Source organism: Homo sapiens, chromosome 19 (genome assembly GCF_000001405.40).
Source record: "Homo sapiens chromosome 19, GRCh38.p14 Primary Assembly".
NCBI classification, from domain to species: Eukaryota; Metazoa; Chordata; class Mammalia; order Primates; family Hominidae; genus Homo; species Homo sapiens.
In genome coordinates, this window is record NC_000019.10 from 361422 (window position 1) to 376276 (window position 14855).

At 54.9% G+C, this 14855-nt stretch overlaps 1 protein-coding gene across 8 annotated transcripts; it reads right to left on the reverse strand.

The window, feature by feature from the left end:
* Positions 1-325: 325 nt before the first annotated feature.
* On the reverse strand, positions 326-14605 carry SPMAP2 (sperm microtubule associated protein 2). 8 transcript variants are annotated; one of them, XM_011528049.3, is made up of 9 exons: positions 14242-14605; positions 12878-13000; positions 12519-12590; positions 12049-12110; positions 11210-11279; positions 9784-9901; positions 5644-5803; positions 3504-3599; positions 326-1005 (listed from the first exon to the last, which is right to left on the reverse strand). In XM_011528049.3, the coding sequence occupies exons 1-9, from the start codon at positions 14547-14549 to the stop codon at positions 779-781; spliced, it is 1236 nt and encodes a 411-aa protein (XP_011526351.2). In that variant the 5' UTR covers positions 14550-14605; the 3' UTR covers positions 326-778. The 8 variants fall into 8 exon arrangements, with proteins under 8 accessions (XP_011526351.2, XP_011526352.2, NP_057669.1 ...); XM_011528050.3 differs by lacking the exon at positions 12519-12590; NM_016585.5 differs by lacking the exon at positions 3504-3599.
* Between the last annotated feature and the right edge of the window lie 250 nt (positions 14606-14855).

The following is a 14855-nucleotide window of genomic DNA, read 5'->3' on the forward strand; positions in this document are numbered from 1 at the left end:
TACTCCGACGGTCCCGTGGGCCCTCAGGAGGAGCGTCGGCTGGTTTGACTGTGGCTGTCGTTCCGACTCCGACGGTCCCGTGGCCCCTCAGCAGGAGCGTCGGCTGGTTTGACTGTGGCTGTCGTTCCGACTCCGACGGTCCCGTGGCCCCTCAGCAGGAGCGTCGGCTGGTTTGACTGTGGCTGTCGTTCCGACTCCGACGGTCCCGTGGCCCCTCAGCAGGAGCGTCGGCTGGTTTGACTGTGGCTGTCGTTCCGACTCCGACGGTCCCGTGGGCCCTCAGGAGGAGCGTCAGCTGCTTTGACTGTGGCTGTCGTTCCGACTCCGACGGTCCCGTGGGCCCTCAGCAGGAGCGTCGGCTGCTTTGACTGTGGCTGTCGTTCCGACTCCGACGGTCCCGTGGCCCCTCAGCAGGAGCGTCGGCTGGTTTGACTGTGGCTGTCGTTCCGACTCCGACGGTCCCGTGGCCCCTCAGCAGGAGCGTCGGCTGGTTTGACTGTGGCTGTCGTTCCGACTCCGACGGTCCCGTGGGCCCTCAGGAATGGACGAATAAGTCTGGACTGAAGAGATTCAGAAGGCGCTCGAGATGGTCAATGAAAGTGACTCGGAAAATAAACAGCTGGACAAGTCGCAGGTTGGATGCAAAAATAAATATTATTGTCCTCCTCATCCTTCTTTTGGCCTTCTAGCCCGCCCTCCCTTCTCCAGGCCAAAAAGCTCAGAATAATCACATACACAGGGTTAGGGTGCCTGAGGGTGTTTACTGGGAGCGGAGGTCTTAGAGGCCAGGCCTGGGTTGATCACACTTTTCTGGTGATGCTTTTGGGGGTGGCAAGCTCATAGAGGCGAGGGGACGCCTGTCGTATCCCTCGTTGAGGCCCTTGCGCACTTTGGGCTTGGCCAGGGAGATGATCCGGGGGCTGGCCACCACCTTCTTGGTGACATCCAGCACCTCCCAGCGAGGATCTCGGTCAGGAACGCACTTGTCCGACTGAGCTTTGGGCCCTAGTGGGGGCAGAAGAGAAGGACAGCACTGAAGCTCAAACCTCAAAGCTCCACATTCAGGCTGGGCATGGGAGCTCACACCTGGAATCCCAGCACTGTGGAAGGCTGAGGCAGGTGGATCACCTGAGGTCAGGAGTTAGAGATCAGCCTGGCCAACATGATGAAACCTCGTCTCTACTAAAAATACAAGAATTAGCTGAGCGTGGTGGTGCGTCTCTAGTCCCAGCTACTCGGGAGGTTGAGGCATGAGGATGGCTTGAACTTGGGAGGCAGAAGTTGCAGTGAGCGCAGATCGCGTCACTGCACTCCAGCCTGGGCAACAGAGCAAGACTCCATCTTAAAAAAAAAAAAAAAAAAAAAAAAAAGCTCCCCCATTCAAACGGCCTGCTCATCAGCAGAGAAACGGAGGATGAAAATGTAGTCCACTCAGAGTGGAATATGACTCAGCCAAGAAAAGGAACGAGGCTCTAGCACCAGCTACAGCATGGCTGAGCCTTGAGGACAGCATGTGCTGCGAGAGACCAGAGACACGAAAGGACACACAGTGTGTGATTCCATTTATACAAATGTCCAGGACAGGCCAATCCAGAGTCCGGAAGTGAACGTGTAGGTGCCAGGGGCTGGGAGACGGGAATGGGGAGTGACAGCTGATGGGGGCGGGGCTGCCTTCTGAAGGCATAAAAAGGTTCTGAAATTGACTGTGGTGGTGGTTGCATAACCCTGTGACTGTACTAAAAGCCACTGAAACATATTTTTTATTTTTATTTGTTTATTTATTTAGTTTGATACAGAGCCTTGCTCTGTCGCCCAGGCTGGAGTGCAGTGGCGTGATCTCGGCTCACTGCAACCTCCGCCTCCCAGGTTCAAGCAATTCTCCTGCCTCAGCCTCCTGAGTAGCTGGGACTACAGACGTGCACCACCACAGCCAGCTAATCTTTCTATTTTCAGCAGAGACGGGGTTTCACCATGTTGGCCAGGCTGGTCTTGAACTCCTGACCTCAGGCGATCCGCCCGCCTCAGCCTCCCAAAGGGCTGGCATTACAGGCGTGAGCCACTGTGCCTGGCCTATTTTTTATTTTATTTCATTTTATCATTTTATTTTACTTTATTATTTTATTTCATTTTGAGACAGAGTCTTGCTCTGTTGCCCAGGCTGGAGTGCAGTAGCATGACCTTGACTCGCTGTAACCTCCGCTCCCCAGGATCAAGTGATTCTCCTGCCTCAGCCTCCCGAGTAGCTGGGGCTACAGGCGCCCGCCACCACGCCCGACTAATTTTTTGTATTTTTAGTAGAGACAGGGTTTCACCATGTTGGCCAGGCTGGTCTCGAACTCCTGACTTCAGGCAACCTGCCCGCCTCGGCCTCCCAAAGTACTGGGATTACAGGTGTGGGCCACCGTGCCCGGCCCCATTTTATTTTATTTTGAGGCAGGGTCTTGCTGTGTCTCCCAGGCTGGAGCACGATCTTTAGCTCACTGCAGCCTCCACCTGACTTGAACTGCTGGGTTCCAGCCATCCTCCCACCTCAGCCTCGCAAGTAGCTGGGGCTACAGTCATATGCACTGCCACATCGAGCTACGAAACCTACACTTAAAACAGGGTGAATTACAAATAAAAAATATTTCGGTTGGGCGCGGTGGCTCATGCCTGTAATCCCAGCACTCTGGGAGGCCGAGGCGGGCGGATCACAAGGTCAGGAGATCGAGACCATCCTGGCTCACACGGTGAAATCCCATCTCTACTAAAAATACAAAAAAAAAATTAGCCGGGCGTGGTGGCGGCTGCCTGTAGTCCCAGCTACTCAGGAGGCTGAGGCAGGAGAACGGCGTGAACCCGGGAGGCGGAGCTTGCAGTGAGCTGAGATCGCGCCACTGCGCTCCAGCCTGGGTGACAGAGCGAAGCTCTGTCTCAAAAAAAAAAAAAAAAAAAAGAAAGAAAAAAAAAGAAAAAATATTTTAAACGGCCACTGGCAGCCAGGCTCAATGGCACATGCCTGTCATTCCAGCACTTTTGGAGGCAGAGGCAGGAGGATCACCTGAGCCCTAGAGTTTTGAGGCCAGACTGAGCAACACAGCGAGACCCCATCTCTAAAAAAAAAAAAATGGCCACAGGTACCTGAAAGGGGGACTCAGGGGGCCACAGCCAAGAGAGCTCAAGTCTCCTCACTCTGCTGCCAACACAGGTGACCCTGGTTCACCCCCCTCTCCACCTGCTCATGTCATGGTGGTAAGTGGGTCGGGGCAGGAGGCATCTCCTCCCCCTGGCTGGGGTCATGTCTTGCTCCCTGGTGGCTGTCCCTCAGGCACTCGTGGCCCCCTCCTCCTGGTACCCCCTTCTCACCATCTCTCCCCCACCCCTTCCTTTATAGCAGGGAGCTGCAGCAGACTGCTTGGAGACTAGGAAGAAAGGTGGCCACCGAGTCTGGCATAGCAGCCGGGGCTGTCCTCTACCTTGTCTCTGAAGGCTTCAGGGCCTTTGATTTCTGGGAAAGCTCCCACCTTCTTTCCAGATCCCTCTTTGCGTGGAACTTCTGCGCAAATGAATAAGGGCTACCCACTTCTTGGCAGACCAGCCCTGGCTCTGTGAAGAGGCTCCTGGGGAAAAGAGTGTGGAGTCTCTTCCACTAGGCAGGCAGAACCCCACGTGGCACGTGGCTGGGCAAGGCCATCTGAATGGAAACTGCAGATACAGCACTGCCTTAGACCATCCTGCACGCACCCGCGCTCACCACACACACACGTCGTGAATATAAACATCCATATACTGGTACAGGTGTGAGTGCTTCTCTGGCCCCTGCTCTGCATGCTAATTGTCTCTTCTGCACCTTCCGGGTGGATGCGAGCTCTGCCCGGCAGATGCCCTTGTGCAGGGTAAGGGGGCCAAGCAGTGGGGCCCTGGTGACCCTAAGGGGGCTGGAAGAACCGTGCCCAGAGCCTAGCCTTCTTTGAACTCCTCTGTGAGAATTTAGTAGGCATCTGGGCTTTGAAACTCTGTTGAGTTTCCAGCACTCCCGAGCAGCAGCAACTGAGCCCACATAGCAAGCGTGAGCACGCACAGAGAAACAGCACAGCCACACACTCGCTCTTACCCCCACCACACAGCAAGTGTGAGCACACACACACAGCCACACACTCGCTCTTACCCCCACCACACAGCAAGTGTGAGCACATACAGCCACACTCTTACCCCCACATAGCAAGTGCGAGCACACACAGCCACACACTCGCTCTTACCCCCACCACACAGCAAGTGTGAGCACACACAGCCACACACTCACTCTTACCCCCACCACACAGCAAGTGTGAGCACATACAGCCACACTCTTACCCCCACACAGCAAGTGTGAGCACAAACAGCCACACTCTCGCTCTAACCCCACATAGGTCAGTGCACTTCATTTGCTGGTCTGCTTCACGTTTTAAAAATGCTGCTTCCTGGCCAGGAGCGGTGTCATGCCTGTAATCCCAGCACTTTGGGAGGCCGAGGTGGGCGGATCATGAGGTCAGGAGTTCAAGACCAGCCTGGCCAACATGGTGAAAACCTGTCTCTACTAAAAATACAAAAATTAGCCAGGAGTGATGGCAGGCTCCCGTAGTCCCAGCTACTCGGGAAGCCGAGGCAGGAGAATGTGTGAACCCAGGAGGCGGAGCTTGCAGTGAGCCGAGATCGCGCCACTGCACTCCAGCCTGGGCGACAGAGCAAGACTCCATCTCAAAAAAAAAAAAGGTGGTCCCAACTATGAGTGGGTGGAAGCCTCAACCCTCCGTCATTCTCTCACACACGCATGCACACGCACAAACACATGCATGTGCACACACGGATATATATTTATATGTACATTTGAAACATGGATGGATGTATCCATGCATGTGTGTACCAGTGTATCGATGTTCATACTCAACGTGTGTGTGTTTGTGGTGAGCGTGAGTGCGTGCGTGTACCAGTGTATGGATGTTTATACTCGCCGTGTGTGTGTGGCGAGCACAAGTGTGTGCAGGACGGTGTAAGGCAGTGCTGCATCAGCCCTCATCTGTTTCCATTCATTTCACTCATCATTTCACAAATATCAAGGGAATGGATGAAAGAATGAATAAACAAAGAAAAGGCCCCATAAGCGAAGTTAAAAGACAAGACAGAGACTTGGGAGAAGTTATTGTGCAATGTGTTCAACAAGGGATTAATAACCGTCTTACATAAAGAGCTGCTCCCAATCTACAACTCCAAAACACCAGGCAGCAGGAAACTGGGAAAACGATATAGAAGAGTAAACCTAAATGGCCAAGCAACTTCTCTGGCAATTCGCACACATTACCCTTGTCGTTGAGGAAAATGGTTATTCAACTTGTTTTAAAAGACAGGAATGGAGTCAGGCCAACACCCATTTTAAAGCTGCATTTGTTCCTTAGCGTGGTTCTCTGGTTCCTGCTCTGCACCCTGATTTTCTCTTCTACACCTTTTTTTCCTGCTAGAAAACCCTCTCAGACAACACCCTCTGCTTCCGGACCACACGTCCCTGTGATTTCTGCTTCTCTTTCATGGGGGAGAGCTTCCCTCTGCCCGCTCTAGGCAGAGGTATAAGGTGTCCCTTGGGATCTGAACAGGACATCAGGAAATGCCTAGCCTGAGGCACCTACTTACTGGCCAAGTGAAGGAGGCGGTTATGGTCTGACACATGTGGCTTGGGTTTTGGCACGGGGTCCCACTCTTCCAAGAGGGTGGCTGGGGCCTTCGGCTTTGACAACTGGAGGATCCGCGAGCTGGGGACTGCCATTTGGGCTGCCCTGGATACCTGGGACACCTGGAAAGAGAAATAGAGAGAAGGGTTACGTGAAACAGTCCATGATGCCTCGTGGGCCCTGGAGCTGAAGGACCCCAGGAGCAACACTGAAAGACACAAGACAGACTGGGAAGAAGTTGGTTTGTAATGTATTCATGAAAGGATTAGTAACTATCACGCATAAAGAGCTCCTCCAAACCAATAACCAAAAAAACCCCAAAAGGGCTGAGCAAAGGGTACAGGAGACAAACCCTAAATGGTCAATAACCCTGTCTTTTGACCAATGTAATATCAACAATTGTTGGCAAATGTAAATTAAAACAACAAAATATCACTCCACGCTCACAAATTTGGCAACAATGAAAAAGTCTGACATGATCAAGCCCTGGTGAGAGGCTCTCATGCATGACTGGAAGGAGAGTAAATTAGTACAGGCAGCTCAGGGAGCAATTCGTCCACTAGGTTCAGCTGAACACGCGCAGGCTTGGTGACTGCCACATACGGGGACTCCTGCGCTTGACCCGAGGAAGTGGGTGCAGGGATGTTCCCTGCAGCTTAGTTACCACACACACACCCCGGAAGGAGCCGGGCGCCCGGCCGCTGGGGGCTGCACAAGCTGACTGCAGCGCATTCTCAAGAGAGGGCAACCCAGCAATTAGACCATTTTTTTTCTCCATAAATTGGCACAAATTGCTCTAGAAAACAGTAATGAGGGAAAGCAAAACAGAAGTCATTTATGGTCACGAACACCACGAAACACGACCTAGGGGACAGGATATGAAAACGATGGCAGTGGGGCAGTGCTGGCCGAGGCGGGAGACCTTGCGGACGTTTCACCCAGAAACTTGGCACCCTTGCTCCCCAAATCAATTCTCAGCAGTGGCCAGCACAGTGGCAGCCCTTTGGGGGGTCGAGGTGGCAGGATCATGTGAGCTCGAGACCAGCCTGGGCAACATAGCAAGACCCCATCTACACACACATTCTTGGCATTTTCCAGAAAACCCATAGTGCACTGAAAGTGTGTTCTTTGATGCTTTGCACCAGCCTACGCAGAGACTGAGTACTGCGCGGCGCTCAGACACCCTTAAACTGGAGCTGGCTTCCCTCCTCTCGCCTCATACGCATTCTGTTCCCCTTCACCAGGCTTGCTCCCGTACACGTGTGTAGGAGTCCGCCTGCAAAATAACTAAGGAGTAGGCAAAGGACCGCTTCACACGTCTCCCACTTATGCTTTGCTGGAAGAGGAACTGGCCATTCCTGATGCCTCTGGGGAGGGAGGGAGGGAGGGAAGGAGGGCAGCTGCTGAAATGTTTTCTTCCTTAAAAGGGAAGTGGAGGTGGCCGACCCACGCCTAACTGGATGCTCCTGTCCATCCATTCTTGGAGCGTTACCTGACAGTCTGTGATTGTTGGCTGGTCCTAACTCTAGAGCCTGCGTGGAGGCAGAGGATGAAACCATCCCCAAAGGTCACTGTGAAATTTCAGTCCCTTTCTTCTTGAAATTGCTCCCCCATAAAAATCACAGACACATCTCTCAGCAAAGATATTGTGGTGTTTACAATGGAAGCTCCCACTCAGTGATCCGTCTTCTCCCTCCCTGGCTCCCTCCAGCCTCCTCTCTTCCCACCAGCCCTGCGGCTTCCATGCACACAGCTCAGGCCGGGCTGCTGAGGTAGAGAGACTCCATTTCAGTCCTGCTTTCAAGGAGCTCCAGTCCTGGAGGGGCAGGCCCTGATTCATCCAAACCAACTGCAGAAAGCCGTTGCTCAGACAAGTGGGAAAGGGAACATGGACCGTGCATGTTGGTATCACGGAACCACTGTTCACTTTTTAGTGTGATCAGTGTTACTGGGTTCGTGTTTTAAAATGTCCTTGTCTGTTAGAAATTCCTACTGAAGTTTTATGGGAGAGATGCTGTCACTTTAAACACGTTTAACTTTAAACCCCACTTTAAACAAGTGGGGTCTGAGAAACCACCATAGGAGAAGACGCGACCACACACAGTGAGGGGAATAGAAGTTAATGCCACGCGAGAAACGGCCAAAACGTTTAGGAATAATCAGGTGAACAAACCAACAAGCAAGAAAGCAGGCACTACCACCGAGTGCTGACCACAATGGGGAGAGCCTGAGCTCAATCCCCGCCCGGAGAATGCAAGACGGCGGCCAGGATGAGGCAGGCCTGAGCTTCCACTCCCCGCCCGGAGAATGCAAGATGGAGGCCACGACGGGGCACACCAGAGCTCACTCCCCTCCCAGAGAATGCAAGATGGCAACCAGGAAGGGGATCGCCTCAGTTCATTCCCTGCTTGGAGAATGCAAGACGGTGGCCAAGATGGGGAAGAGCCTGAGCTCCCTCTCCCCACCCGGAGAATGCAAGATGGTGGCCAGGATGGGTTTCAGGCACATCCGTGTGAAGAAGCCTAAACAGGCTTTGTGTGAGCAATAAAAGCTTTTAATCGCCTGGTGCAGGCGGGCTGAGTCCGAAAAGAGAGTCAGCAAAGGGTGGTGGATTATCAATTGTTCTTATAGGTTTTGGGATAGGTGGTGAAGTTAAGAGCAATGTTTTGCGGGCAGGGGTGGATCTCGCAAAGAACCTTCTTAAGGGTGGGGGACATTACAAAGTACCTTGATCACTTAGGGTGGGGCAAAAACAAATCACAATAGTGGAATATCATCAGTTAAGGCTATTTTTACTTCTTTTGTGGATCTTCAGTTACTTCAGGCCATCTGGATGTATACGTGCAAGTCACAGGGGATGCGACGGCTTGGCTTGGGCTCAGAGGCCTGACAACAGGGACAGCCTGAGCTCCCACTTCCCACCCAAAGAATGCAAGATGGCCAGGATACGGCGCACCTGGGCTCCCACTCCCGGCCCAGACAATGCAAGATGGTGGCCAGGATGGGGAGCGCCTGAGCGCAATCCCCACACAGAGAATGCAAGACGGCGGCCAGGATGGGGAGAGCCTGAGCTCAATCCCGGCCCAGAGAATGCAAGACGGCGCCGTCACTTTGGACAACCATTGGTCAGTTTTTTAAAAGTTACATATACCCAGTAACTGAGAAATTCCAATTCTGGGTATTACCCTGGAGATATGGAAACTTACGCCTCCACAAAAAGCTGTATACAGATATTCACAGTTTTGTTTTTTTTTTTTGAGGCGGAGTCTCGCTCTGTCGCCCAGGCTGGAGGGCAGTGGCGCGATCTCGGCTCACTGCAAGCTCCGCCTCCCGGGTTCAAGCGATTCTCCTGCCTCAGCCTCCGGAGTAGTTGGGACTACAGGCGCCCGCCACCACCCCCGGCTAATTTTTTTTTTTTTTTGTATTTTTAGTAGAGACAGGGTTTCACCATGTTAGCCAGGATGGTCTCGATCTGCTGACCTCGTGATCCACCCGCCTCAGCCTTCCAAAGTGCTGGGATGACAGGCGTGAGCCACCGCGCCCGGCGTATTCACATCAGTTTTATCGTAACAGTCCTAAACTGGAAGCCACCCAAATACCCTTCAGTGGGTGCCTGGATCGGCAAATTCTGGAATTGAACCGGCGACGACAAGGAATAAACTACCGACGCACGCGAGAGTCTCAGATGCAGGGCGGGGGGCGGCAGAAGCCGGGTCAAGCCCGCAGGCTGCGGGGTTCAGACTTTCGGAAAAGCAAAAGGTACAGGGCGTAGAGCGAGGTCAGTGGTTGCCGGTGGCCAGGAGTCCGGCCTGAGCTGGGGCGAGAGATGAGCGCTTTCTGAACACCTGAGATAAGACTGTTCTAATTCCTGAGTGTGAGCTGGAAGCTTTGGGATCCACCCGGACTGAAGCGCAGGGAAGGATGACCCCTGGGCGGCTCTGAAGACAGTGAGAGATCAAAAGAAAGCTGCTCCCAGACAAAGGCAGCCGCCCTGTGCAGCTTCTCCTCCTCCCCTGACTCCCAAACGCAAAGCCTCTTTCACTCTCTGCCGGGTCCCAGCCCGCCTGGCGGGGGTGAGTCGCGGGGGGCACGGGGCACCCACCTCAGACATGGGCATGCTCCAGAAGTTATCACGAATCTTCGGGGCGGCCAGTTCCTTCAGGCGACTCGACGCTCTGTATTCCAGGGAGGACCGAGGAATGGGCCAGACAGGAGTCGTCCTGGGGGAGGTCCCCATTTTAGACCAGCAGCTCGGCCGGGGGTGGGGGTGTGTGTGTGTGTGTGTGTGTGTGTGTGTGTGTGTATGTGTCTGTCTGTCTTTCCCAGCTCCTCCATATGTGTCTGTCTGTCTTTCCCAGCTCCTCCTCTGTTTCTGGGGTTAAGAGAGCCTGGGAGAGTGGTGAGTTTTGAAAGCGTCTCCAAACAGGGATTCGTAAAGAATTTCTAAGAGTTCTCAAGTACAGAGCTACCATCTCCCAGGGTTGTCTCTGCTCAATGTGCAACGTCCACCCTCAGGTCCAGGCCTTCTCCATTCCCTTCTGGGACGGCAGCTCCTCCCAGGCCTTCTCTACACACCCCCATCATCAAGAGCCTGGCGTGAGCACTTGGACCCAAGGGATGAAAGTGTCTGTCCTGAGGTTGCAAAGCTGGGGAAAGCGAAGGACAGCTGAGCTCCCGGGGCTGTGCCTTCTGAAATCAGGTCTCAGCTATGCCTCTGCTCGGAAATAAAGCCGCATTTCATTGATTCTAAGGCAAGGTCTCCACATTGAACAGGTCTGAGGTTAGGATGCAGCTTACGAGTGCTGCCAGCCAGATGGCGGAAGTGTCCTGGCTACATCTGGCTGCATCTGTGTGTGCTGTTCACGTGATCTGCACTGCTGCTTCTACAGGAGTTAAGTTTAATTACAGTTTAAATTGTCTTCAGGTCACAGTATGATTTGGCGTTAAAAAGTGCACAGAGGCGTGAGGACAGTGTGTGCGACACCCACATCAACGTCTGTGTCAGAAGTGGTTCAAAACAGTTGGACACACTTCCGCTGTCTACTTCAGCTGTGCTTTCCTTCATACGCTGCATAAAAGATGGGTAATTATATGTTGTGTCTAAATAACTAAAGATCACTTTTAACAAGCACAGGGGCTGTAAGTGGTAAGAAAGAATTTTGTACATAAAATACTAATGTGTCTTAGAATTTCCACCTTTTTTGAGTAAACAAAATACAGTCACAATGGTGATAACATCTGAGCACGCACTGTGTCAGGCGCTGTGCAAATCCCCGTTCACGGGTGCCCTCCACCACCATTCCACAGCTGGCAATGCAGTTGCACGGGGCCAAGCAGCCTGCTGGGGATGTGGACTGGGAAGCAGCCTGCTGGGGATGTGGGCTGGGAAGCAGGCCAGCCCCGTCTGAACACCAGCTGTCTAGGGCTAGGACCTGGACCCTTTCCCACACAGCATCCTGTCAGGCGAGAATAAGGCATTTCTGCCAAACTCTGCCTTCTGAGTAGCCACCCAGCCCTCCTTCCCCCACCTGTTGTTGTTGTAATATTCCAGGTAGAATCTCTTGGGCCGAGACAGTTCCTCCACGCGGCGGGACACCGCTATGCAAAATGGGAAACGGAGTCAGTGAACCCCAGTGTCAACACCCTGCAGTTCCCAGGGGCTTCTGCATGCGGAATTCAGCTTTTCATGAGCTTGGGCAGGAGGCTGAATTGGAAGAACTGTGGGCAGAGACAACTGGGGGCCAGACACCCTGCAGAGAGAAGATTTGCTGTCCCTGATTTAGGGACAATGGGCTCAGAGGCTTGAAGGTCCTTTCTCGGACACCGGATGGGAGTGGCAGGGCTGGAACAGCAGCCCAGCACCGTGGCTCCTCAACGGGGCTCAATACAGATCCAGGGACCCACAGGCTGGGAAAATGGGTTTTGTTCTGAAGTTAGTACAAGCCTGGGGTTTCCAGGGGCCTAGTGATGACTGTAGGTCTAAAGTCAAGAACAGCACAGGAGAGAACTGGACTGTTATTCTCCTCTATGGGGAACTCTCGAAGTGTCTCATTTGAAGGTATCTATGATACCTCAATACCAAATTCCTCTCAAGAAAAGCATGGAAATCATTGTGGAAGGGAAAGCAAAGGGTCTTTTTGTAAATTCTTGCCCCGATTTGGCCCTATCCTAGAGAGTGTTCCCCATGCCCCTCACCCCCAGGACCAGTCTCAGCTCTAGCTCCTCAGGGGACAGACTCCAGTGGGGAGGACAGAGGCTCCGAGGAGATGGGGCAAGGGAGGCCAGAAGTATCTAGATGGGGCGGGGCAGGTTCCCTGGAGGCCGGCAGCCGGGGGCAGGGGTCTCAGCAGGCACGGGCTCCACCTACCGGGCACTGTGATGGTGAGGGTGGTGTCCTCAAGGAACCGCTCGGTCCAGTACACAGAGGGCCTGGAATAAGCGGACGGCTCAGGGCAAGGGAGGCAGAGAGCCCTGGCCCTGCCCGGAAACAAGCCTGGGTCTCTGCCAGGAGGGTGGCCGAGGTGGGGTGTGGAGTTGCTGGGAGAGGGGGTAGGCCAGAGAAGGACAGTGGGGGGGCCGGCGGGACGCGTGGATTATTGTGAGCAAGGCTGATGTCCAGAGAAGGAGGTAGCTGGGGGAGAAGCATAGCTAAGAAGAGGGCCCAGGGCCACCTCCTGGGAGCAGACCCAGGTCACAAGGGTGGAGAGCCCCACATCTGAGGAGCCCTCCCTGATCCTCCTCCCTGGAGAGAGGAGGGTGGCTGGAGTGAAGGGGTCCCCTGGAACCTGACACGTGTCCCCCAGCATAGGCACACGGCGGAGACAGCCCTGGACTTACCAGCAGAGACAGAAGTGCAAGCTCATCTTACATGGGGAGATCCAGGCATACCCCTTACCACAGCGTCCCTTCCTGCGAGGAGACAGGGTCCGAGCCCCACTGCCTCTTGCCCTGGGTCTCCCGTTTGCTCCCAAACTCCTCACTCTCCTTTGGCCACCGCCCAGAGGGCCACCGTTCCCTAGCCACTCCCAGTGTCTGGCCACCTCCTTAACTGGCCAACCCCACCTACCCTAAGTTTGCTGGATGTGGTGGCAGCTGGGGGAGGGGAGCCGAGCAGTGGGGACAGGAGGAGCCCGGGAAGGGTGCAGAGAAAGCCGCCCACGCTGCCCCTACGAGGCCGTGGTCTGGCGTGTCCTCACCTGTCTTTCAGGACTTGCCAGTTTATCTTGGGCTCTGCCAGCTCCATGAGCCTCCTCCGCCTCCTCCTCTTCCTTGCTTTGGTCATGGTGGTGCTGGGGAGCTTCTGGCTGATGGACAGCCGGCTTTGGGAGAATTCCACGTTGAAGTTGGAGCTGCTTTCCCGCCCCGATGCGTTTGGGAGCCCAGAGAAGCGTGGGTCTTGCTCAAGCGCCTTTTGTCTGCACTCACCCTGCCCACCCGCCTCTCCTTTCCCTCGAGGGGTCTCTGAGGGAGGACTTTGGCACCACGAAGGCCTGGACCAACCGCAGCTCCACTGCTCGCTGGATGGAAGACCCGTCCAGGTCACCTGTCTCCCCTGGTCCTCAGCTTCCTCCTCTGTGAATTGGAGGTGAGACCAGCTCCCACCTGGCGGGGCTGTTTTGGTGAGTACTAAGGTAGTGTTTACTCATCTCACAGACATCTGTCAAGTGCTTACTGTATGCCAGGCCCCAGAGGGGCAACCACCCTCTAAAGAGAGCGGCTCCTGCCTCCCAGAAAGCTCACAGACTGTGGGAGGGAAACAGGCAGCAGGTGAAGATGCCAAATGCCAGGATATCTGCCCTGTCCTTGCTTGATGCAGCTGCTGGCTCCCACGTTCTCCCCAGAATCCCCTCACACTCCTGCTGTTTTCTCTGCAGGTTGGCAGAGCCCCATGAGGGCAGGGCAGCCACTTTGTTCTTGGGCGGCAAACCTCCCTGGGCGGCACGGAAACCACGGTGAGAAGGGGGCAGGTCGGGCACGTGCAGGGACCACGCTGCAGGGAGGACGGGAGCCGAGTCCCAGAGGTATGTAGAGTGCGCGCCTTGCTGGGGACACTCCAGCAACTGCCCAAAATCAGCGCCCCCAGTGCTGATTGGCCGAAGCGTCAGTTCACCCAGAACGTGTTCCTCCCGACCATTTAAAACCTTTTAGCCACGTGTGGTGCTTAGAATGGTTTCAACTTTTGAGTTGGGAGGCTTTTTTTTTCCCATTTCTTATTCTCTCTGTCTGACTTGAGGCCATCACTCGCTAAACTCTGAACTCTGGGCACCTGAACTCAGTCTGCCTGACTCCAAACTCAGCGCTGTTTACTCCTCCTCCTGCCACCAGATAGGGGAGCGTCTGCTGGTGTCTGCCTCAGGGCCCAGTGAGGGGTGCTGGCCGCCAACCGACCAAGCCCACACCTAGGCTGACTCGGCAGGGCCGGGCCCCTCGGGAGCAGCGAGCCAGGCCGGTGGCCGGTTACGACCCTTTCGCCCGCCCAGGGGGCTGCTGCCCTCCCCCCACTGCCAGGGGCTGAGCCCTACCCCACCGCACCCAGGCAGGCCCGTTCCCCGGTGCCCACCTGATTTCAGGAATGTCCTCTTCCAAGTCCTTGTCCAGGACTCTCTCCAACTCAGAAAGTGCCTCTTTGGGATCCAGGGTCTCCGGGAACTCCTCCCCGGCCACCTCCTCGGGGGGAAGCTCCTCTTCTGGGTCTTCTGGTCCCAGCTCTGCATTGTCCAGGTCCTGGCGTTCGGGGTCTGTGACCCGCCGGCTCTCGTACACAGAGCTCTGGAGGCCACGGGGGTCGCCGTCCTGCTCCCTTTCCGACCTGCCCGCAGCCTCAGAGCTGGGCTGGTTCCCGAGTGACCTTCGCCTGCTGTCCCCCATACACCGGTCCCTTCCCAGCCCCCGCGGCCTCACTCTCCCGGCACCCAAATGTGTCTGTGGTGGCCGCGGCAACAGGAGAGCGTCCGTCACATTCCCCACGGTCCACATTCTAACCCGTGCGCCGTCTCCAATGCTGGTCACCTGGGCTTGCGCTGGGATCAGGACTCAGTCCTGGTGGTCACGGCTCACTCAGGACCTCCCAGGATTGGTTTAGGAAGGAGACCTGACGGGAACCTGCAGGGGCATCTAGCTATGGATTCCCTCTCTCAAAAGGAGACACAAGGAAGAGACCGCGTCTCCTGTTCC